Source organism: Homo sapiens, chromosome 13, assembly GCF_000001405.40.
Source record: "Homo sapiens chromosome 13, GRCh38.p14 Primary Assembly".
NCBI classification, from domain to species: Eukaryota; Metazoa; Chordata; class Mammalia; order Primates; family Hominidae; genus Homo; species Homo sapiens.
Genome location: NC_000013.11, coordinates 91,344,416 through 91,366,293, shown reverse-complemented (window position 1 = coordinate 91,366,293; position 21,878 = coordinate 91,344,416). Strand labels below are relative to the sequence as shown.

Sequence of the window (21,878 nt, the reverse complement as noted above, 5' to 3'; positions counted from 1 at the left end):
CCTTTCACCCTGTTGTTCTCCCAACCTCCCAAGTTCCTCCCAAGTTCCTCTCTGCTCCTCTGCATAGTTAAAGCCAACTCCCTAGCACCAGGTCCATATTTCAAAAAACAGTGAAAAAGAAATCGAGGAAGACAAGAACATTACTTCAAATGAAGTGACCTGGAAGTTGCACTTTTTTTTTTTTTTTTTTTGAGAGAGGGTCTTGCTCTGTCACCCATGCTGGAGTGCAGTGGCATGAACAGGGCTCACTCCAGGTTCAACCTCCCCAGGCTCAAGCAATCCTCCCACCTCAGCCTCCCAAGCAGCTGGGGCCACAGGCACACACCACCACACTTAGCTAACTATTTTTTGTAGAGATGGAGTCTTGCCATGTTGCCCATGCTGGTCTCAAACTCCTGAGCTCAAGCCAGTCCTCCCACATCGGCCTCCCCAAGTGCTGGGATTACAGGCATGAGCCACACCGCACACATCCCTAATCACTTTTTTAAAATTCGCTTTAGCAACAAGTCACATAGCCACTCTACTGCAAAGGAACCTGTAGTCTAGCTGGATAGCCCTGTGCCCAGGTAAACCTTTGTTGATCCTGTTCCTAAATGAAGAATGGGAGACGTGGATATTGACAGCAGTCTCTGCCACAAAAACATATAGAAAATGTAGTAGTATATATTGAAGAATTTTCAAAACATGTTCCCTCTACCAACGAGTAATAACCGCTAGGTATCTGGTCATATAAGTATGCCTCAACATTTTATCTGACACTAATTCTGCCATTTTCAACCAACGCACTCTGTATCTGCCATCTGTGTTTCATTTTCCTTGTATATCCACACCTGTTTTGCCTGTTCACTTAAGAGAACGTTGATTTTTATTATGATGGCTTTATGTATTAAAATTAATAATGCTACTTCTCACATTTACTTCACATTTTCGTTAGTGTATTTTAATTTTGGTTCTGGTATTTTTAAATTATTTTGGGGCTCAATATACAATGATGGCTGTTTGAGGCCTATTCATTTTGTCCCATTGATTTATCTTGATTATTGCCAGGGCATTCCATTTTATTAGTGTAGCTTCAGAAAACATTCAATAGCTAGTCTAGTCCTTATGTTATTTAACATCTACTCATCTTCTCACCTGTTTGTTCTTCCAGAGAGATACTAGAATTATTTTTTTCCAAGACCAAAAGTAAATTCCACTGACTTTTTATTGTAGCAATGTTAGCAGAATAACATAGTATGGGAAGGCTGACATAGTACTGTTTTCTCACACACACAAAAAAACCTGGCTAGAATGCATAAACTCTATTTATGCACCTTTTTTGAATTTCATTAAAAGTTTATGAAAAAGTGAAGTATAAATTTTTTACCTTTCACTCTGCATATGTCTCAAGATTTTCTTCTAGGTGCTTTATAACTTAATATTTTGCAGTCTTTTTGTTTTATTGAGCAACTTATATTTGTTAGTATCAAGGAAAACATTGGTTTTTACATTTAATTTTTGTGTTAAATTACCTCACTGTGGTCTCTATCAGTACTAATTTTTCTAATAATTCTTTGGGTTTTCAAAGACAATATTTTTGGATGTTAGCAATAATTATGCCAATTATTTCTGCATTCTATTTAATTGAGTTTCTTAACACTAGCAAAGCAGAGTTAACTCACGGTGGGGACAACAGCTATTTTAGTATATACTATTACTATTATTTCTGTTATTTGCATTTTTTATGTAGTTCTTTTGCATCTGTAATAAGTGAGATGACCATTATATTTTTGCTTATTTCTCAGATTTTAATGCTAATTTAAGGAAATGCATTAGGAAGTTTTTACTTTTTCAAGAGTATATAACATCATTTGAATTGGCTCATACTTCAGAAATTTAAAATAATTAAATACCCCAGATTCTCTAGGCCTAATGTCTTTGATAGAATCATTTAATTACATCTTAAAATATTTTTTGGTAACTCACTTAACAGTTTCCATGTTTTCTGAATCATTTTGGTAAATAATTTCTCCAGAAATCAGTGATTATATAAAGATGATTGTATATTTTTTAGCATTAAAAAAAAAACTACAGGTTTAAAATCAAATACCAAAAAATAAAGTACAGAAGAAAAAATGACTGAAAATTTCACTACACAGGTAACACTGCAACAGACCTTTTTGCATGTATTTCTCCCAGTCTTTCTTGTGAGAATATTTTATGTAATTCTCTCCCTAGTTTTCATAAAAATTATGCTCATTTTAAAGTATTTTTTTCTGATCGTAACAGGAATGCGATTATTCTATAACATTTGGGAAAGGTATAAACTCAAAATACTAAAACTCCAAATTTTTCTGTTCAGTGATAACTAATGTTAATATTTTGTTGCTATTTCCTTGGATTTTGTTAGCATAGTTATCAAAATGTATAAGCTGGACTGAAAGGCAATACAGCAGTTAAGAGAACTTGTGCTAGAGCCAAACTACCTAGATTTAAATCCTGGTTCCTCTGTTTTATCAGCTTTGTGAACTTGGTCCGCTACATCTCTCTCTGCCTCAGTTTCCTTATCTGTAAAATGGGAATAATTATCACAGCAATTACCTCAGACTGGAGTTAGGATTAAATGAATACTCAATGCTTGACAAAATTGTTAGCTACCATTATCATCTTTAAATAGTTAACAAGGACATTCACAAGTCCTACAGGAAGGATGGAGGGCTGAGTAAATCGTAACAAAATTACTCAGGCCACTCAATAAGATTTTTTAAGGTTATAAAAAAACCATTCTCCAGGTTTTCACCCAATAAAATTACCTTCATGTTCTCTAATGCACTTCTGCAGCAGGGCAGATTTATTCGTCTATTACTACTTTGTTTCTGCTAAGGAACTAAACCAGTAGGGACAGCAGTGATTCAGAGGAGGCGGCGGCATAATTAGCTGGGTTTTTCTTAGCAGTATCCACTATTACTGTTAATAGGGATCAAACCATGGTCTCCTCTCACTGTATTGTGGCAGAATTTAGGGTTCTTGTTAGCAACAAACACGGTTTCTTAATCCCATCTAACTACCACCTCCTTTTCTAATCCATACACTATTAAATGATTCTGGACCAAGCACTTCCAGTGCTTTCTTATTGCCTTCTGTCTCTAATCTCCTGTACACAGTTACAATGAATTTCAGCCCACATATTCAGGGCAAGGGTAATGGCTTTTTTTTTTCTATGCTGGTCTTTGGACATCAGGCCATGAATGTCACTGCTATGTTGTCTCTTGTTCAAACTGGAGGCCTTTTCAAGCATGACTTTCAGGCATATAGAGATCCTTATGCAATCATTTAAATTTACTGTATTGTTTATGCACATGTTTTTCATTTTCCAGTAAGGGAAACAGTTGAAATCCAAAAGCCAAGCAAATTCCTTATTTTTCTTCCTTTTATGAGACTGAATAAGAACTGAAAAAATGGAAGAAAGGACATGAGGTAAAGGGAGGTATCTGGGGAAAATCTTCAGGTAATATTTAAAAATATATTGCTACATACACATCCTTACTGTTCTTTGGGCATGGATTCATGAGATTAAAAAATATTTGAAAGACATTTAATGCTCAAACTAATATGGCTTCAAGATAAGTACCTTACAAATTCCTTTTAATTTGAGGTGACTAGGAAATAAGAGACACTGTTATGAATATAGACCAATAAATAGGCAGTTAAGTTTACGGGGCAGTAACTTAATAAATCTGCTAGAAAATAACTTGGCCTTGAGCAACTGTTTCAAAGTATGCCATTATTTAAAATAATTACTTTTGCCCCTGAGTTTTCCATATGAATGTAAAACATTCAACTGAAACTCAAAATGTATTCTGACTACCTAGATAGGTCTACAAATTCTTAAAGTGTTGTAAGAATAGATAGGGTTAATAATTACTAAATTCTTAACCATGTACATATTATTTAGAGATACAAATATGGGGGGGAGGGGAAAAAATGGAAGCAAGCAAACATGCATTATTGCAATTCCAACAATTCCTCAAAAAATAAAAACCCCAAAACTACTAAAGATCTATGGAGTGAAGCTGTGATGTCATCAAACAACTTTTCTAAAATATTATTTGTTGTATTCCCTGTGATTGTGTACAGTGATCAAATTTGCCAGATAATTGCTTAACTCCACTTCAGTTTCCCTTTGTAAACAAAGTCATTGAGTCAACATAAAAGACTCAAACAGTTTCAAAAGTGGAACATTTTGAAAGCATTTTGTTTGCTAATACAAATATACCTTATGGTTAACTATTTAGTAGAAATTGATTTCCTCAAACTTGGTCCAATTATTTGATGAGTCTAAGACAGAACAGCGTCAGTAGCACTTAGGCTGTTACAACATGGTTAATGTGTAAAAACCAATCATTAATCTCATAATTTTCTTTAGCATCTTTGTAGCATGTGCTCTGTGCTTAGCATTGTATTTTTTTAAAAGTGGGCAAAGGTCATGGCTAACTCATTCTCAACAATAGGCATTATATAACATGCCTGCTTAATTGCTGCAATGTAACCTCATTGAATTATCAAACTTTAACACTTTATTAGTAGTCTTTTTTCATTTTAAGGCTCATCACTACTTCCATATCCTAGATCCTATCATTATCCAGAATCAGATGTGTTTTAAGAAACCTATAATTTAAAATTGAATTACATGACTGCTAAATGGATTGTTGTCCCTTTTTTATAAACCAAATCAATACAAAGCAATAACCCTATACAAAATATGAAAATTGCTTTTAGATGACATCCTTTTGGAGACAGACCTATGATTAAAATATTAGACTTTAAATATCAGCAGGATTACATGTCTTTAAAATGAATAAAATGTGTTTAGGGTCTTTGATATTCCAATATTCCATCATCATTTTAAGAAGGCACAGTACTTTACAGCAGTGAAATGCCTCAACTCCTATATAAACAAAAAAACCAATAATTTATTCTGATAGTAATATCAATCAACCAAGACTGAATGGTTTCACTTGGTACTAAACTGTACATTCCATTTTGGGGTGGAAAAAATATTAAATATTGGATTCGTCATACTAAGGATCGTTCTGTGACAAAATTGCTTTTTTAAAAAAACAACCTAATTACTGTATTTATGTATGCTAAACTAGATGCAGTAACAAGACTCTTCTAATTACCTACCTGTCATAATGTGTATCAAGCACACACAGTACTGCAGCAGTTATTTCCCCCTCTGAACTCACTTTCTGAGTATTGGTTAACACTTCATTTTATGAATTCTCACTGTGCAGACATGAGACTCATCTGAAAATCACCTGCAATCTTCTTGAGGACACACATGCTTTGTTACAGGGTCATGCATGTTTATTTTCATAGACATCCATCAGTTCACTCTGCAGCTTACTTCCCAAAGAGTGATTTGGTGAAGAACATAACAGCCAAAAAGTGAAAAAGACAGATTGCGGTCCTGAGGTAGGACTCATTTCTAATTTCCTAAATTATAAAGACAAAAACAAACAAAACCTAATTTGAGATCTGTTCTGAACTCTTTTATCACACTATGACCGACCAACAAAGTTCCCGGAGCTGACCAGAACCACTATCCCACCCCAGCCAGCCATTCATTGCCACCGTTACATATTACTTATGGATGTGCAAATAACCTTTTCTTTTCTTTATATCCACTGCCTCATTCCCCGCTACACACATACTATTGTCTTTATACTCTCCACCAAAGCAAGCATAACCTTCAGCCTCTACCTCTAAACAAAATTTGGCATCAGGAGACTGAGAAATTTAAGAATGGCATGAAAATGTCTACTGCAGTACATCAAAGAACAGTTGAATTGTAACATGATGTTTAGGAGAAATCTCCAATCCATTCAACAGCTATCTATTGAATGCCTACTTTGCAGTCATTTTGGGGAATACAAAGTAAGATTTGTTCCTTGTTCAAGGAGCAGAGGTTTAATAGAAGCTCTTACTGCTGGGCCAGAGTATCAAGGGCCAGGACTTCCCATTGACTAGGGGCAAACCACCAGTTGTCTACATTTCCAATCACTAAAAATAACCAGGGCTTGCATGTTATAAAATTTAAGTAAAACTGACTTGAATACAAACTACTTAAAATTTTTCTGTGCTTAATTTTAATTAAAAATGTTCTTATTTCTGTCTCCTCCTTTTTGTCTTTTGCTTTGTGGGCTGTTTTCCTAGCCTTTTTCCTGGTGATTTCAAAGTTAAGTATAGTCTTTTATTCTGCTAGTGGTTGCTTTGAAATACTATTTCTGTACTCTAACAAAGTAGAGGATAAATTGCTTATTTACTTTTTACCTGTATTTAAAAGCTCATTTTCCAGTTCTGGCTAATGAGGTTTTAGACCCTGATGGTCTCTTTACATTGTGTCATTTCTAAAAGCAACTCTTTAATGTTTACTTAGATAGGTTAACAAAATTTCACTTATTTTGTGGTTTCCCCATTCTGAAGGTTGACTGATAAGGACCTACATTTTCTAGAATGTTTGCAGGAAGTATATTATAAGCTCTTCTCGTCTGAGAAAATCTTTTCTTTAAAACCTCCATAAACTGGCACTTAAATACCGTAGGAAAACATTGAGACAGCCCGAGTATGTTCTATTTTTTATTGGATTAAGTATTTTCCTTAGCTCATTCATTTCACTTACGCTGTCTGAAAACAACTCTAAGCAGTTATGTATGCCTGGAACTATAACCATGTCCAAAACCAACACAATTCCCTAAGACAGGCAGAATGACCTCCAACAATATCCAAGTCCTAATCCTAGAACCTGCAAATGTGAAATGTTACAAGGGGAATTAAGACTGCCAATGAGCTGACCTTAAAATAAATTATTTCTAAATATTTGGATGGGCTCAATATTAATCACAAGGGTCCTTAAAAGTGAAAGAGGGAGGTAAGAGGGGTCCAGTGTGATGCAGACGCCACCTGCTGCTGCTAGATATGAAGATGGAGTAAGAGACCGTGAGCCAAAGGCAGAGTCTTCAGAAGCTTGAAAAGATAAAAAAAAAAAACCTTGCCTCCCCTAAAGACTCTAGGGACTAATACAGCCCTGCTGACACCTTAATTGTAACCTAGTGGGACCTGTGTCAAGACTCCTGACCTACAGAACTGTAAGATTTCAAGCCATTAAAAGTTTGCGGCCTTTGGGAGCCCGAGGTGGGCAGATCACAAGGTCAGGAGTTTGAGACCAGCCTGGCCAACATGGTGAAACCCCATCTCTACTAAAAATACAAAAATTAGCCAGGCGTGCTGGTGCAAGCATATCTGTAATCCCAGCTACTGGGGAGGCTGAGGCAGGAGAATCGCTTGAACCCAGGAGGCAGAGGTTGCAGTGAGCTGATTGGGTCACTGAACTCCAGCCTGGGTGACAGAGCAAGACTGTCTCAAACAACAAAAAAAGTTTGTGGCAATTTGTTAAAAGCAGTAATGTAATGAATTCAAAATAACAAAATATCCAAATACACATAACTATAAATTGTAGTTAAGTACTTTGAATAAAACATGGCAGAGATTAACTGAATAGGGGAGGGCAGTCAGAAAAGGCTTTGAGGAAGTAATATTTTAGCCAAGACCTATAAGCAGCAGCTGCATCAGCCTTGCCAAGTGCGGTTGAATAACAGAGGCCTGACAATGTTTGCCTTAGACTTGTGCTCAAGTTATCAACTTAATGAAAATCCTCTCCCTTCCTCTCTTCCATCTCTACCCTCACTAAAATCTATGTGCCCCCAAATGTTAATATTGTATTCTCATCTTTCAGTTATCCATGCCACCAACCTGCCTAGGTATCCTGTGTGCTTCAGGAAGGGAACAGACTTTCAGTGGTACTGTCAACAGAGATGGTACACAAAGCTCAAGCCTGAATGTAATCTTGTTCCTCAGACCGAGTTCAGGTGGGCAGAGTGGAGCTGAAAATTCACTTTGAAGTTGAGGAAAGGTTTATTTTCCAGCTGGATGTGAACATGATAGCTACCTTTTTGATCAAGATGGGAAAGCCTACCTAAGCTTACAATTTTTGGGGAAAGACAACACACTTAAGTTGCCTAAGCTATTAATGGAGGAAACTGGTACTTGAACCCAGAATTCTCCGTCCTAAACATTACACTGTAAGACTTCTTAAATAGTTCTTTAAGCTTCTCAACCGATTAGCCAAGTATTACATGACTCAAAGAGAATAGAATTCAAGTTTAGTTTACATTTGTTTCCTAAAATTAATCTGAGGTGCCTTTCTCAACTTCTCTTTATCATCATCCATCTTCTCATGTCACACACTCGAAGTAACTGGTTTAACACGTTGTTTTGTCTCAGGAAGCCAAAAGGACAACTCAAAATTTAATTGAGGCACCACGATTCAGTGCAGGGCTTCTTGTACTCCTGAACCTTCTGCAGGGAGTGAACCTGAGTTAGAAAACTATAGTATTCTGGTACTTGATAGTCTAAATTTCAAAGTAATACAGAGAACAAACCAAACCGAAAAAAAAAACACACCTGACTATACCTATTAGCAGAGCCTTCTCACATCCACGCAACATCATGAAAACTAATCTGTCACAAAGCACAACTTCTCAGCACTTTTGTTACTTTGTTCAGTGCTTTCACATTCACCCTATTGCTGCTGTCAGTTGCTTTCTGAGATTTAGAAGCTGGGTTTTACATTTACTTCCAACAGATGAACATTACATATCCACACAAATGGAGCATCTATCAGTTGGTTTTTTTCTTGATCCCCCACTTCTAGGCTTTCCTTCATTTTTGCTGGGATTACTGTACACAGCAAATCCTTTTTACTTACTCTGTTTTCTTGCTCCACCAACGTTGCTCTAATGACTTTTTACCACACCGTCAATAATGCACTTTGCCCCCATACTAGTCTTGTTTTGCTTTTCTCTTTCAGACCGTCTCATCCTAGAAGTAACATTCACCCACGGGCATTTCCACTTACCTGTTCAGTCTATTCAGTGCCTTCTACACACCAGGTACCATTTTAGATGTTGAATAAGCATCCATGAACCACACATCTTCAAATCTTTGCCCTTGGAGGCCTTATATCTTAGAGATTAATTGGGGGGATTAAAAAACGAAGCTCCCAATTCAGGTTTGGAAGGGGGTGGGAAGGACCTGCACTTCCAATATCCCAGGTGATGCCACTAATTCAGGATGATGATGCAGAGAACAGGAACAGAGTATGCAGTTTAAGGGAGAGCCAGTCTGACATCTGTGTACAAGGACTACAAGGAAACAAGACTAAGTCATAGGTATCCGGAGTGGGAAGTTCCCAAACTAAGGGAATAGCAAATGCAGTCTGAAGTGGAAGTCTGCCTGGAGAGGATAAATGATAGGAACTGGGGGAGCCAAAACACTTAAGTGGAAAGGCAGTTGTATTAAGACATCAGTAAATGAGCTGGGGTCTCAATCAAGTTTCGTATTTTAAAAGGAGTATTCGTAAGTACAGTCAAGGGCAGAATCATAGGTTATAAACACAAGACACTCAGAATATGGCATAAACATCTTTTCTAACTTGAAATTTAGATGCAATCTTGAGTATTAGAAAGTACAATTTTGACAATTATTCTGAGGGTAACACTAGAAAACTGTGGACTAAGTTTTAAACACAAAACCAAGGGAGTTTTAGATGAAAGCCTTAGAGGAGAATCTAAATGCTGACGATAACCTATGTCTAAAGACATGGCTTGTACCTTGTGCACCTTACTTGTTCAGAATGATGGTGGCCACTGTGACAGTAGCCAACCAAGGAAATACAGGTATAGCACAAAGACAACTACACACCTGGCCTGTTAGGTGCTGTTACCAAAACAAAGTATCATTGGAGAAGAAAAAGGGAAGTTACTGAAATTGAAGAGTAAGGAAAAGCCTGTGGATTTAGAAATAAATGTGGGGTTGGGGCACATATTTTGTCAGTCAGCTATAAAACTGAGTAATGACTGCATGAACCATAAAAATAGTTTACTGGTCTCTTTCCTGCATATAAATTCTAAGGTGTTTTGATGTTCTTCTGCATTCCTATGGCTCAGCATTTCCAACAATTCAGGGTAGTAGATATATCCTTAAGTATATACAGCAAAATCAACAGGTATTTCTCAAAATACTTGTCTGCGCAGCATCCTGCCCCAAAGACTCTAATATAGTGCAGCTAGATTAAGATTCCAGGTCTTTACGTCTTAATAATTTTAAGACAACTGGTTAAGAACCTTTTCTTGGTAAATGCATAATCACTTTAGAATTCCTAGCACCACCTTACAGGACCCCAATTTTCATCTACTCTTGGAACATTCACTAGTCTCATCTAGTTACCCCAACCTGCTGAACAGTGTGGTATTCCATCTGGATCAGTACATCTCAACAAGTGCAGAACTGATGTCGTCGAAGCTTTTTTTCAATCTTTTTCAGTCTATGTAAGTTGAAGTCAACATTAAACGTACTAAAAATTCACAGTATATATGCTTTTATAAACAAGTGTGAACAATTAGTACATGCTCACCTCTACTAATATACTGACAAATCTAGGTCTTAAAAGTAAACATGCAGTTATTAAGGATTTAGTATATTCAACCTGAGATCTAATTACTAATCACTTAGGAGTATACTAACATTTCATTTCGGGGAACTTACTACCAAACTCAGGTCTTTGTTATTTACCTCTATGACTAACGCATTTATGTCGGCACTTACTTAAGTTAGCCCTATGTATCTGTGGTTCCTGCATCCAACCACAAACAGACTGAAAATACTCAGGAAAAAAAATCTCACGAAGTCCCCAAAAGCCAAACCTGAATTTGCCACACGCAAATACTATACTGAATCTACATGAATAATATGTAAGATATTTTACCAGATTATTCAAGCAATATATAGACAGCTTAAAGCATACAAGAAGACATGTATAGATTTACATGCAAACACTGCACCACTTTACATAAGGGACTTGAGCACCTGAAGAATTTGGTATGCACTGAGGGTCCTACCAATCCCTCCACTGATACTGAGGGTCAACTATGCTAAAACTCTGCATGAGCCTAGATTTCTTGTGTTACTGGCCATAGACAGGTACAATCTCGTACCTCATTTAAAAAATATTTACAATGATTTTTTGAACTTTTAGAAATGGCTGAACTTTGAGGGCTGGTCAGAACATACCATTCTTATTTAATGTTTTAGAGTTAGTACAGACCCATTAATAAACACTCAACCCAGGAGCCAACACATATTGGACATTTATTAGAAGCAGGAGTTTAAGACTTTTTATATACTTTGGCCTCCTCTCTTAAACTTTCATGTTATCAACTGGCCAAAAAACACAAAAAACAAAAGAACTCCCACCTTACTAACGTGTATAATATAAACAAAATGAAGAATGCTTCAGACTTACCAAGATTTAAGGAAACAAGTGTGATCTGAGAACTTGTCAGATTCCATAAAAATACTAGGCAGAAGATAACCTTTTAAAATACTGACATATTTTAATTCAGAGTCCATTTACCACCTTTCCATTCTGCTTGAAAATGAACTTCTGATCTCATATGTAAAGTAAGAATACAAATACATATTTCACAGGTAATGAAGATTAAATAAGAAAATCCAGATAAACTTTGGTCCTTGTCTCCACTTCCCCAATTAATTAATAAGTAACCTTTAGACCATCTGTAGTGACAAAACAAAAACGCCATAAAAACTGCGATAATAACCTTGAAGTTTTTATTTCAATATTCTCGTTCTGGACAATTTCTTAACAGCTTTAAAATGCAGTATTTTATTTATTAACATTAAATGCGCTAGAACTCAAACAGCCAGACCAAACTGTAAATACAGAACTAGGCACATCTCAATGTTCTGTCTCTGTGTTTACATTACTGGATAAGAAAATTAAGCATTCTTCAACTTTTCTATGGGTCTTAAAATTCATGGAATATGTGCATTTTCCTAATGACCCTTTAAAACTAATACCACATATGAAATGTTATCAAGGCAGAAAACTACATTAATTTCGACTTTAATAAGATGTAACTCATACAACCACTAAGCTAAAGAATAATCTGAAGTCTCAAGTGGGCATGATGATCTTATTTCCATCAAACACTAAAAACTGGCTCTGTGCAGATTGAGCTCTCCTTACCTTTACTGCTCAGTTGAGAGGCTCTTAATTCTCTAAAGTTAGACAAACTATGCAAAACTGTCAATTAAACAGTGTATCATTAAATACATAATAAACTTTAATGTGACACTGAGTTGTTCTCCAGGAAGTTGCAGGCTGCATTTTGTCAGGAGTCAGTGTGTCTTCAAACTACAGGAGAAAACCCAAGTCTGGCTTGTAGTTAGACAGGTCTGCCTGTAAAATGAAGATCTCAAAAGTTTTCAGTAAAATCACCAACACTTTGCAAGCAGCTTTAAAAAGAATTCCTAAAATGTTAAGTGCTTTCTTTCCAAATATAGGCTAAAAATAGAAAGTTGTACATGCAAACGCCAAAAAAAAAAAAAAAAGTTGACCCATTTTTTCCCCTCCAAATAGTTAAGGCTATTTATTAAACCTAAAGCAACATGACCTCTTAAGTCTCAAGCAACTTCAAGGTTAAAGCATTTTAAGAACAAGGGTCAAAGTTGTTTTTTCTCAGGTCAGAGATGAGGCCATTATCAACTTGCTCACTCATCTGAATTTCAAAATGGCTAAATTAACAATGTGAATCTTTTTATACAATACTTACATGGCTTTTTGTTGGCATGTTAGCATGCCTAAGAAAATCTTAATAGAACCAAGAATGTAAAATTTGCCTCACATTCTAAAGCCAGAAACAAATCAAAAGCAATTCCTATTAAACCCTATAGAACCACAGATCACTACCAAACCCACAACAAAACATACACATTTATTAACTTGTTTATTAGATTTAAATCTCAGTTCAAGCCCAATTAAGTTCTGAACACAATGAATACTAGTTTCAGTCTCTAGGGAGAAAAGCCATTTAAGTCTTTGTTATTAAAACATATTTGACTTACATTTTAGAATATTTAAGAAATCATCCAGCAGGCTTCCTATCACACTGTTCCAGTTTTTAAAAAAATTGCTAGTGTATCTCCCCAAAAGCACACCATTTTGCAAACTACCAGACCATGCTGTATTATGAAACTTTTTTTTTTTTTTTTTTTTTTTTTTTGCGTTTAAGTCTTGGTCTTGCGCCCAGGCTGGAGTGCAGTGGCAGGATCTCAGCTCACTGAAACCTCCACCTCCCAGGTTCAGGTGATTCTCCTGCCTCAGCCTCCAGAGTAGCTGGGATTACAGGTGCACGCCACTGCACCCGGCTAATTTTTTATATTTTTAGTAGAGACAGCGTTTCACCATGTCGGCCAGGTTGGTCTCGAACTCCTGACCTCAGGTAATCCGTCTGCCTCAGCCTCCCCAAGTGCTAGGATTATAGGTGTGAGCCACCGTGTCCAGCCGGAACTTTTTAAGCATAGTTTGAAAGCCACGTTTGTCACTAAATAACCAAAAAGACACAATTATTAGGTCTCCTTCAATTCAAAAAGCTTAAGAACTCTGCTAATGTACAATTTGATTTCCATTTTATAAATCACTGTTCATTTCACATCCTGAAAATTTATGTTTTCATCAACTCCAGAATGATAGAATTCTTACCTTTCTATTCAGGAATCCAAGGCTAAGTTCCTTAAATTTCTTAAAGAACACATTAGAGGTGAAAACTTTTGTTAGACTTCAGACAATATTTTTAAAAGCTGATTTCTAGATTTATTGGGTGGTCTAACCTAGTGTTATGGAAGTTTATTTCTTATTACTAAGATAGCCTCTTTTACTCCAAAATACAATGACATTTCTCAAAACTTATCTTTCAAACATCAAGTTTGCCTGTACTTCAGCTTGGGCCCAATTTTACCACTTGGTCCTTTTAAATCTATTATTCAGGTATCCCACATTATTCTACACAAATACACATAGGCTAGAGACAAAAACACATGAAGAAAAGAGAGAAGGCAGAAATGCTGGGTAAAACACTAACTGCCACTTCTTAGTTTCCACTTCAGTGACTTTAAGTCAAATAAGCCTGGAATCAACTATCACTGTTGCCAAAGTCTGGCTTACGTAGGGAGTAGGGAACATAAATGTTAACTACAGACTTAGAAATAAATGAATATCTGAATCTCACCCCACCGCTGCACTCTTGGCATTTGGGAAGAGTGTACACATACATTTAACTGTTACTCTATTTAGCATTTGTTCTTTTTCTAACTCCCATTTTTTTAAGTTGCAGATGCTAAAAGCAGTCTGAGGACCTTGGTCATTTATAGCTTATAAATCACTGACAATCAGAAAGAAAAACTAGTATACAAGCATTTAACAGTTACACTTCAGTTACTCATGTATTGGTAAACTGGTACTTGCTTAATAGAAACAAATTGTACCCCAACCCTAAATTCCATGCTTAAAAAAACTCATCTTTACACATTGCTTTAAACAGAGCGGCATTCTCTCTAAATTTAAATACTTGAGTAATATATGAGCAACATAAATTAACTTTTAGATTAAGTAAAATATCCTGGAATAACACTAACTCCAAAGAAAGCAAAAAGATATACTCTAACTTTACAGATGATCATCAGGTATACAGTATGTTTAGTCATATCGCAATACTTAACAGCCAAATAAATCTAACAACAAAAAATATAGCCAGAATTTATACTGCCAAATCTGACACGCAACCCCAAAAGTGAAATGTTTTTGAATGAAAACAAGACAAGATGTATTTACACAAAAAGTTACACATTTTCTTTAATATTTCATGTATCTTGTACATTTAACAGTGGAAGTCGAAATCTTCAGTAATATTTAATTTTCAAAATCTTCTGGTCACAATCCCCACCAAACTCAACAGGCCGGGACAAGTGCAATACCATACAGAAACACAGCATTGCAACCGATCCCAACCTGTGTAGAAAGGGGTTTGAGTTTCCCTTACTTTTCTACAGACTTTTCACTACCACAGTCAGTTTTGCATGGATTTGCACAGCAGAATATCACACAGCTGGATGCAAACCTGCAAAACTAACCATAGAACAGTGTTCAGTAACAGGACAGTTTGATTGGGCGACAGGCCGAAGCTGGAGTTCTACAGCTAGCAGTACTTTAAGTGCTCATAATGCAGTAGATAACTAAACACTACCTGCACTATAAGCACTTTAGTGCTACAGAAGCTGTCACATCAGATAGACCAGGCAGATTCTACATCGACACAATAAAAGTACACAAAATTAGTAAAAATCATTCATTTGAAGGAAATAGCAGGCCACCATCAGTTTTGCATAGATTTGCACAACTACATTCTTCTTGTAGTGCAACTATGCAAAACTAACAGAGGACTGCAAACAAAAACTATTAAAACACCTATATACTTGCTTGGCTTGAATTATTGGATGAATACATAACTTCTTATGCCAGAAGGAGCACTTAGGGCAGTAGATGCTAATCTACTTCACTATCTGCACTAGATGCACCTTAGAACAAAAAGCACTCAACATCAGCAGGCCCTGCACTTTAAAGCCCAACTTGGCTTCCCGAGGCAGCTGTCACCATAATGCTACAAGTGCCTTCACTGCAGTAGATGCACATATCACTACCTGCACTGTAAGCACTTTGACATTATTCTGACTGGTCACAATCTTCAGTTTTACAAGGTGATGTTCTCTTTTTTCCTGCTAAATTTGAAATAGATAATTAGAATTAACACCTCAAACTCTAACAACTATAAACCATACAAATTCAGCATAATCCCTAATGGGGAAGAAAAAATTAGTTTAATTATCTCAAAGATATGAGGTCCATTTAGACACGTATTTATGCCTTAAGAATTCTTTACAGAAGGCAATCATAACCAACCATCCAACTAGCACTGGAAGTGGTGGCTCTTCCAATGGCTGGCCTCTCCCAAATGGATTGACACATAGAGAAAAAAAACAAAACAAAATGAGACTGCAAATAAATGAGAACTAATTTTGGAACATTTAAAGGCAATTTAGTCCATGTGTACCTTTTAGAGGAAATCTTCACATCCACGTGGCAAAACATTTTCCTCCTCTTCTGGCTTCCACTTAGCAAATACTTGTTGAAATGATTAACAAAATTACTGTTCAGACTACACTTCAAGTGTTATCAGTCAATTGTAGCAGAACGTAAATATCCTGTTTAAATCTATCATCTCAGGTTATATCTACTTTATCACCCAACTTAAAAGAGGGTCTAAAATTATATTTCGTAAACTGCATAAGCCAGTTTCCAAAAATGTACAGGAATATTTACACTGTAATTTTACTACCTTAAAATTAGCAAATCCGTACTTAATGAGTTAGTTTTTCAGAAAAGGTACATTGTCTAAAGAAAGAAACACCTACTTTTACTCTCTAAGAAACCAATCCTATTTATTCAACTTTAATAGCAAGAAAAATTTGTTTTTAAGAAAAGTTCAAGAAAATCAGAATACACTTACCCATTCCAGAAAACTTCCTTTTCAGCAAGTATTCTCAGAAAAGCTACTGGTGCAGTTAGGTCCACGTGTATGACTGGAATAGGGAAAAATAAGGAAAAAAAAGATAAAACATTATTTGCTCAAAATTACTACCACCGTCCAAATCTATATTTGCTATTTTCCAACCTCCTAACAGCAATTAATTCCATCCATTTGTGAGAGTAAGAGTCGAGCAATACTAGCAGGATTTAAAAGCCCAATAATTTACAGTTGAAAAATACGTAAGAGAATAAAGTTGAAAAATCCTTAGCTATCAGATACATGTCTAAATAAGCTCCTAAAATACTTGATTATGATCAGCAGCAATCACCGACTCCACTGTACAGCTCCAGTAAAAGGAAAAAAAAAAAGCAGCCCACAGACTATTCTTCACCACCCCTCCCCCAATCAAGACCTCGTGGCTGCAAGCCGGGATAAAGAGTTGTTTCTCCAACTGCTGTGGTCCTGATGGCATGCCGTTAATTTTCTCTTTTGGTGATATTGCAACGACGAGCCTGCCTTTTTCAGTTCCTTTTCCCTTTGCTGCAGTTTAGGAACAGAAGACCGGGCAGGAACACCCGAGACTGCAAAGTGCCCGCCACGCTCATGGAGCCCGGGCCGGCAGCACATGTCGCACAAGGGGGAGCGCGGCCCTGCGATTCTCCGCGTAGCCGCCAGGGGGCGGCGGGTCAGAGTCAGGCCCCGCCGGACGCGGCAACCCCCCCAACCCGTTTCCCGGCGGCAGCCGCGCGGCGACCGGCGGCGCCGAGGCCCGAGTGCGGCGGGGACGCGGGCGCGCCGCCCCTCCTTTGTGTCCCCCAGCCCCCCCGAGCCCGGCCCAGAGGGGCGGGGGCTCCGCGGCCGCGGTGCCCGTCGCACGCGGCCCGAGGCCTAAGCCGGGAACAATCGGCGGCGGCGCGCAGTCGCCGCCATGTCCCCCGCCCTCACCCCCGTGCAGCCCGCCCCGCAGGAACATGGCGGCGGGGACGCCGCTCCCGCCGAGCCGGGCTGGCCCTCCCGCGCCACACTCCCAGCAAGCGGCCGGGCGCAGGCGGCTCCACGCCGCGGCTGAGGCCGACTGCGGCCTCCTCCGAGGGCCACGGCGGGGAAGTTGCGGGCCCCGCCCCGAGGCTGCCCACGCGGGCTAACAAAGCCCACGCGGAGCGGGGGTGGCGCCCAGGCCGCGCCGATCTCGGCGCCCCTCCGCCCACCCTCGCGCGTACAAAGTTTGGGGAACCGCGGGCTCCCGCCCACGCCACGCCGCCCGCTGGCGCGCAGGTACCTCGTGGGCGCGCCCCCTCCCGGCCCGCGGCCTGCCCCATGTGCCGCCGCCGCCGCCGCTTTGTTCTGGAGGCGCTTTAACTCTCGCCCTCGGGAGAAACTTTCCTACCCAGAGACCCCACGCCCCGCGCGCGCCCCGGGCCCCGGAGAAGGCACGGGCCTCGCACGTCCTCTCCCCGAGGGGCCATTGTGTTCGCCGTCCGCCCACCCGCCTTCGGGTCGGCCCAGGCAGGGTCTGCGCGGGTCCCGGGCGCGGCCGCCACGCGCACGCCGCCCCCTCCCACCCTCCCGCCCCGGCCCTGCCCCCCTCCGCCGGCCCGCGGGCGAGCGAGGGGGCAGCCAGATGCGGCTGCCACACGCCGGGGCGGCCAACGGCCGAGACCCGCCCCGGCCACGCCGCCGCCGCCACGCTGCCCCGGGCCAGTCCGCCCCGGGCCGCTCCGCCCCGCCCGCCAGACCCGGGCCGCACACAACAGGTTTCCCTCCGTCGCCGGAGGGGCGGGCAGACTCACCAGGAGGAGTAGCCGCCACCATCTTCGGCTGGCCGGCCGCGGGCTCCTGCTCCCGCCTCCCCGCCCGCCTGCGCTTTACTACGACCGGAGGCCCCAGGCCGGGGGTGCGGCCGGCCGGCCCGCCCCGCGAGGAGAGCTTCGCGGAGGAGCGCGAGCCCCGGCGGCGCTGCGGTAGTCGTCCCCACCCCCTCGGCCTCGCCCGAGGGCGCGAAGTGGCGCGAAGGCGCAGGTCGGGCGGCGGCGGCGGCACCTCGAAGGACCATGTGGGTGAATGAAGGGCGGCGGCTCCCGCCTCAACGTAAATACGGACAAGCCCCACTCCCTCATTAGCATAAAAAACAAAGTACTTCCGACCTCCCCGCCCGCCCGCCAATCACCGCAGGCCCCGCCCACGGCGGCTCGTTCTTGGCGGCCGGGAGAGCGGGAGCCGGGAGCCGCTGGCGGCGCCGCGCAGCCTTCCCCGGGCCGCGCTCCCCCGTGGCCCGCCCACCGCCGCCAGCCTCGCGGAGCGCCTCGCCCGAACACCTCGCGCCACGCCTCCGGCACGCCCTCCGTTAACAAGCTCTGCGCGCGTGCAGACCCCCGCGCGCCGCACACCCTCCTGGAAGCGCACGCTTCCCGGGGCTTCCTGGGAGCCCTGCTCTCCCTGGGACTCGACGTGTACGCTGTGCGATCACAGTTTATTACTTTACCGGCCCTTGGTGGGTTTCCGAGGTAATTAGGGGCCTGCTCCAGGCCAACCGGAACCAGAGAAGTAAAATCCAGTGACTTTAACATCGAAACAGAATTACTCGCTGCAAAGATCGTTTGAGACCCAGAAATAAATACATTACACCCGACACTCTTGTGAATGCACACTTCGTGGCAATGTGTTTCCTTAACCTGGCCGCGTGTAAACCAAAACGCATGCCCGAGCAGAGGTTTCACAGCTGCAGTACCTGAGCCTCCCCTCTCATGCCCAGCTGCATTTAGTAAGAACTCTGGGTTCTCCAGTAGAAATAGCATAGCTCGGAAAGAACCTCATAAACAACCACAAAGCTGAGAAAAGAAGCCCAATCAGGAGCACCTCCTTCTTCACATTGTGGTTCAGGAAATTCCGGAATTCTCAGAAACATAATTGTTAAAAGTGAGGATTCATAACATTTACGAGAAATACAGCAATTATAAATTGGTTTAAATCTAGTAAGTAGCTACTGCAAAGCACATATCACTGGTTCGTGATTGTACAAGTCAACTGTAAAACACACATTACCAAAGGATGTCTTTAATGCCCCAATGTTAAAATTTTTGACATTCAAACCTTGACAGTATTGTCATTTACTGTCTTTGACTTATTTTATCATGCTTTGCTTAAATCCAATTGTCAAACTAGTGATGACATAAAAAATAGTGGATTAAAGTTTTGCTACTCTTTTTTTTATTGAGTCTAGTTTCTAGATATTCCTTTCTTTGTAAATCAAAATAAAAGGCCAAATCTGAAATTTTACAATATCTAATATTTCTGTAATATAGTCATTTATGAACGTTTCAAAGAGGAAAACACTGCTAATTTTATTACAAGTCTAATTTTACGTTACTTTTGGTCGGCATTGACTAATATGTCAATGCCTTTTTCTTTAAAACTTTATCTTCTGTTTCAAATTAGAATGGTTGAGGCGGGGGGATGTTGTGAGTAAGATTGTTCATCACACTCTCTGAATCATGGGAAATCCCACCTATATACAGGTTTCTTAGCAGGAGTTATTCATCTCATAGTTTCCTTCCAATTAAAGTCAACATTGAAATACTACTAGCTTTAAAAAGCTGTTTTTAGGTATCTCACTATATTTCTGTGGAAATCTGACATACAAGCAACTATTTTCTGTGACTACAGTATAAGAAATAATTCTTAATGTATACCCTTTTTTATGGTAATCAGGATTTTGGAAGACGCAAATTCATTTAAACCTACTGACTTGGAAATTCCAGAAAGTTTCAGAATTAGTAGGTTGCATTTTAAGGGTTTCGCTCATACTTCCTTTCAAAATTAATAAATTATCTTAAGTATAATTAGAATAATTGAAAACGTTTTAATCCCAAATGAATTTGAAGCTTAGCCAACTTGATGTTTTTTGGAAGTCACTACTAGTGAGAAACCTATCTTCCCTGATTTTAGGGGCCACACTTGGGTATACTTGATAACTAAAGGGAAGATTTTTGTGGTTATAATTTTGAAGATCACAAAAATATGTGAACTGCTAACAAATGCCTTCTGCAACCAAGGAATGTAAAAATAAAGCAATCTGAAATGCCAAAGTGAGACACACAGCCTTCTCAAGTCAGCTAAAACACAGTACTGTTTTACACAATCCAGAACATTCAGAACGTTTTAGATAAAATGAAAAGCTCAGTTCAACGTCAGAGCAGTTCTATATAGCCCTCAGTTTACATGATATATAGAAAGTAATAGAGAATATCTGTATTTTTTACTTTTTACCCATGTGTTTCGGTCTTATAGATGTTATGAATTAAGAAGATCTGAAAAGTTATTGACCTTGTAAATAATATTGAGGATTTTATTTCCTACCTTTTATTGTTTAACTATGTCAGTATCAACTGAGTTAAATGTGTTGAATTTTTGAAAGATAAATTCAGTTAAAATGTTGTGTTTTAGCATAATTATAGAATTTAAGAAACTAATAAAACAATAATCACATTCACATTATAGATGTGAAAACATAGGAATGATGCAAGAATCTAAGTTAAAGACAACTTCTAGTGTTATTTTAAACCTGTATTTATATATAATTTAAATAGTAATTCAGAGGGTCTAAAAATTGGCTAAGCAATTAAGTATATTTCATATTTTTGCGAATTGGCATTTTTAACATAGATGCCTATAAGTATGTATTATTTTCCCACAGCATTTGTATTTTACGGAAAAGGAATACAAATTTAAACACCACGTTGAGTTCAGAAAGTGAACTGGTTATAAACTGAGAACATTTTGGACTCTTGTAATGTAGCAAACAGTAATCAATAACACACATTCAATGATGAAATTTGGGATTTTTTTTACAATATATATCTATAAATGTCTGAAAAGACACAGTCTAGTCCTCCCATATTAATTATGTTTTCCATTGAAACTGTTCGGTCCACTTTAGCAATTATGTATTATGTGTCTGCTATGCTTGCACTGGTCAAAGATATAAGGAGGGATAAGACAGAACCCGTGTCCATGAAAAGTTTAGGAACTCCAGAATATTATTGATTACCACGAATCTTTCACAAATAAGCTGAAGATTTCATGTCTTCAACCTTTTTTTTTTTTTACTTGTTCCAATGTCTAATCCAACTGTTATTCTGATGGCAGGTTATTTTACATCCTTAATTTAGAATTTAGAACATCTGCATTTTGTTTATGGTAGTAGATAATCCTGCATAACATGAATATATGAATTATTCACTACAAATGACATTCCAAGATGCTACTAATGACAATAAATTTATAGTGAACACAAAGACCATAATCATTTAACCTGATAGACTTAAGGTTTTGGAA

The 21,878-nt window shown here is 39.3% G+C and overlaps 1 long non-coding RNA gene and 6 other non-coding genes across 9 annotated transcripts, besides 7 other annotated features; all 7 read right to left on the bottom strand.

The window, feature by feature from the left end:
• Positions 7,813 to 7,862: an enhancer, noted in NCBI's record as "active region_7863". NCBI's record gives its function as "activates an Ori minimal core promoter by ATAC-STARR-seq in GM12878 lymphoblastoid cells {active_cell/tissue: GM12878}" and the evidence as "EXISTENCE:reporter gene assay evidence [ECO:0000049][PMID:35858748]".
• MIR17HG (miR-17-92a-1 cluster host gene) lies at positions 11,717 to 18,607 on the bottom strand. 3 transcript variants are annotated; one of them, NR_027349.2, is made up of 4 exons: positions 18,335 to 18,607; positions 16,524 to 16,596; positions 16,068 to 16,138; positions 11,717 to 12,361 (listed from the first exon to the last, which is right to left on the bottom strand). It is a non-coding gene; the product is annotated as a miR-17-92a-1 cluster host gene (long non-coding RNA). The 3 variants fall into 3 exon arrangements; NR_197388.1 differs by having other exon boundaries at positions 11,717 to 16,138; NR_027350.2 differs by having other exon boundaries at positions 11,717 to 16,596.
• On the bottom strand, positions 14,903 to 14,980 carry MIR92A1 (microRNA 92a-1). The gene has a single exon (NR_029508.1). It is a non-coding gene; the product is annotated as a microRNA 92a-1 (primary transcript).
• Positions 15,016 to 15,102, bottom strand: MIR19B1 (microRNA 19b-1). Its single transcript, NR_029490.1, has one exon. It is a non-coding gene; the product is annotated as a microRNA 19b-1 (primary transcript).
• Positions 15,159 to 15,229, bottom strand: MIR20A (microRNA 20a). Its single transcript, NR_029492.1, has one exon. It is a non-coding gene; the product is annotated as a microRNA 20a (primary transcript).
• Positions 15,322 to 15,403, bottom strand: MIR19A (microRNA 19a). The gene has a single exon (NR_029489.1). It is a non-coding gene; the product is annotated as a microRNA 19a (primary transcript).
• On the bottom strand, positions 15,473 to 15,543 carry MIR18A (microRNA 18a). Its single transcript, NR_029488.1, has one exon. It is a non-coding gene; the product is annotated as a microRNA 18a (primary transcript).
• Positions 15,606 to 15,689, bottom strand: MIR17 (microRNA 17). The gene has a single exon (NR_029487.1). It is a non-coding gene; the product is annotated as a microRNA 17 (primary transcript).
• Positions 16,474 to 17,021: an enhancer, noted in NCBI's record as "NANOG-H3K27ac-H3K4me1 hESC enhancer chr13:92001527-92002074 (GRCh37/hg19 assembly coordinates)". NCBI's record gives its function as "activates a minimal SCP1, AML or CMV promoter by ChIP-STARR-seq in primed H9 embryonic stem cells {active_cell/tissue: H9 hESC(primed)}" and the evidence as "EXISTENCE:reporter gene assay evidence [ECO:0000049][PMID:30033119]".
• Positions 17,022 to 17,569: an enhancer, noted in NCBI's record as "NANOG-H3K27ac-H3K4me1 hESC enhancer chr13:92000979-92001526 (GRCh37/hg19 assembly coordinates)". NCBI's record gives its function as "activates a minimal SCP1, AML or CMV promoter by ChIP-STARR-seq in primed H9 embryonic stem cells {active_cell/tissue: H9 hESC(primed)}" and the evidence as "EXISTENCE:reporter gene assay evidence [ECO:0000049][PMID:30033119]".
• Positions 17,022 to 18,108: a biological region, named in NCBI's record as "NANOG-H3K27ac-H3K4me1 hESC enhancer GRCh37_chr13:92000979-92001526".
• Positions 17,119 to 18,108: a silencer, noted in NCBI's record as "silent region_5432". NCBI's record gives its function as "represses an Ori minimal core promoter by ATAC-STARR-seq in GM12878 lymphoblastoid cells {active_cell/tissue: GM12878}" and the evidence as "EXISTENCE:reporter gene assay evidence [ECO:0000049][PMID:35858748]".
• Positions 18,159 to 18,938: a silencer, noted in NCBI's record as "silent region_5431". NCBI's record gives its function as "represses an Ori minimal core promoter by ATAC-STARR-seq in GM12878 lymphoblastoid cells {active_cell/tissue: GM12878}" and the evidence as "EXISTENCE:reporter gene assay evidence [ECO:0000049][PMID:35858748]".
• Positions 19,039 to 19,118: an enhancer, noted in NCBI's record as "active region_7862". NCBI's record gives its function as "activates an Ori minimal core promoter by ATAC-STARR-seq in GM12878 lymphoblastoid cells {active_cell/tissue: GM12878}" and the evidence as "EXISTENCE:reporter gene assay evidence [ECO:0000049][PMID:35858748]".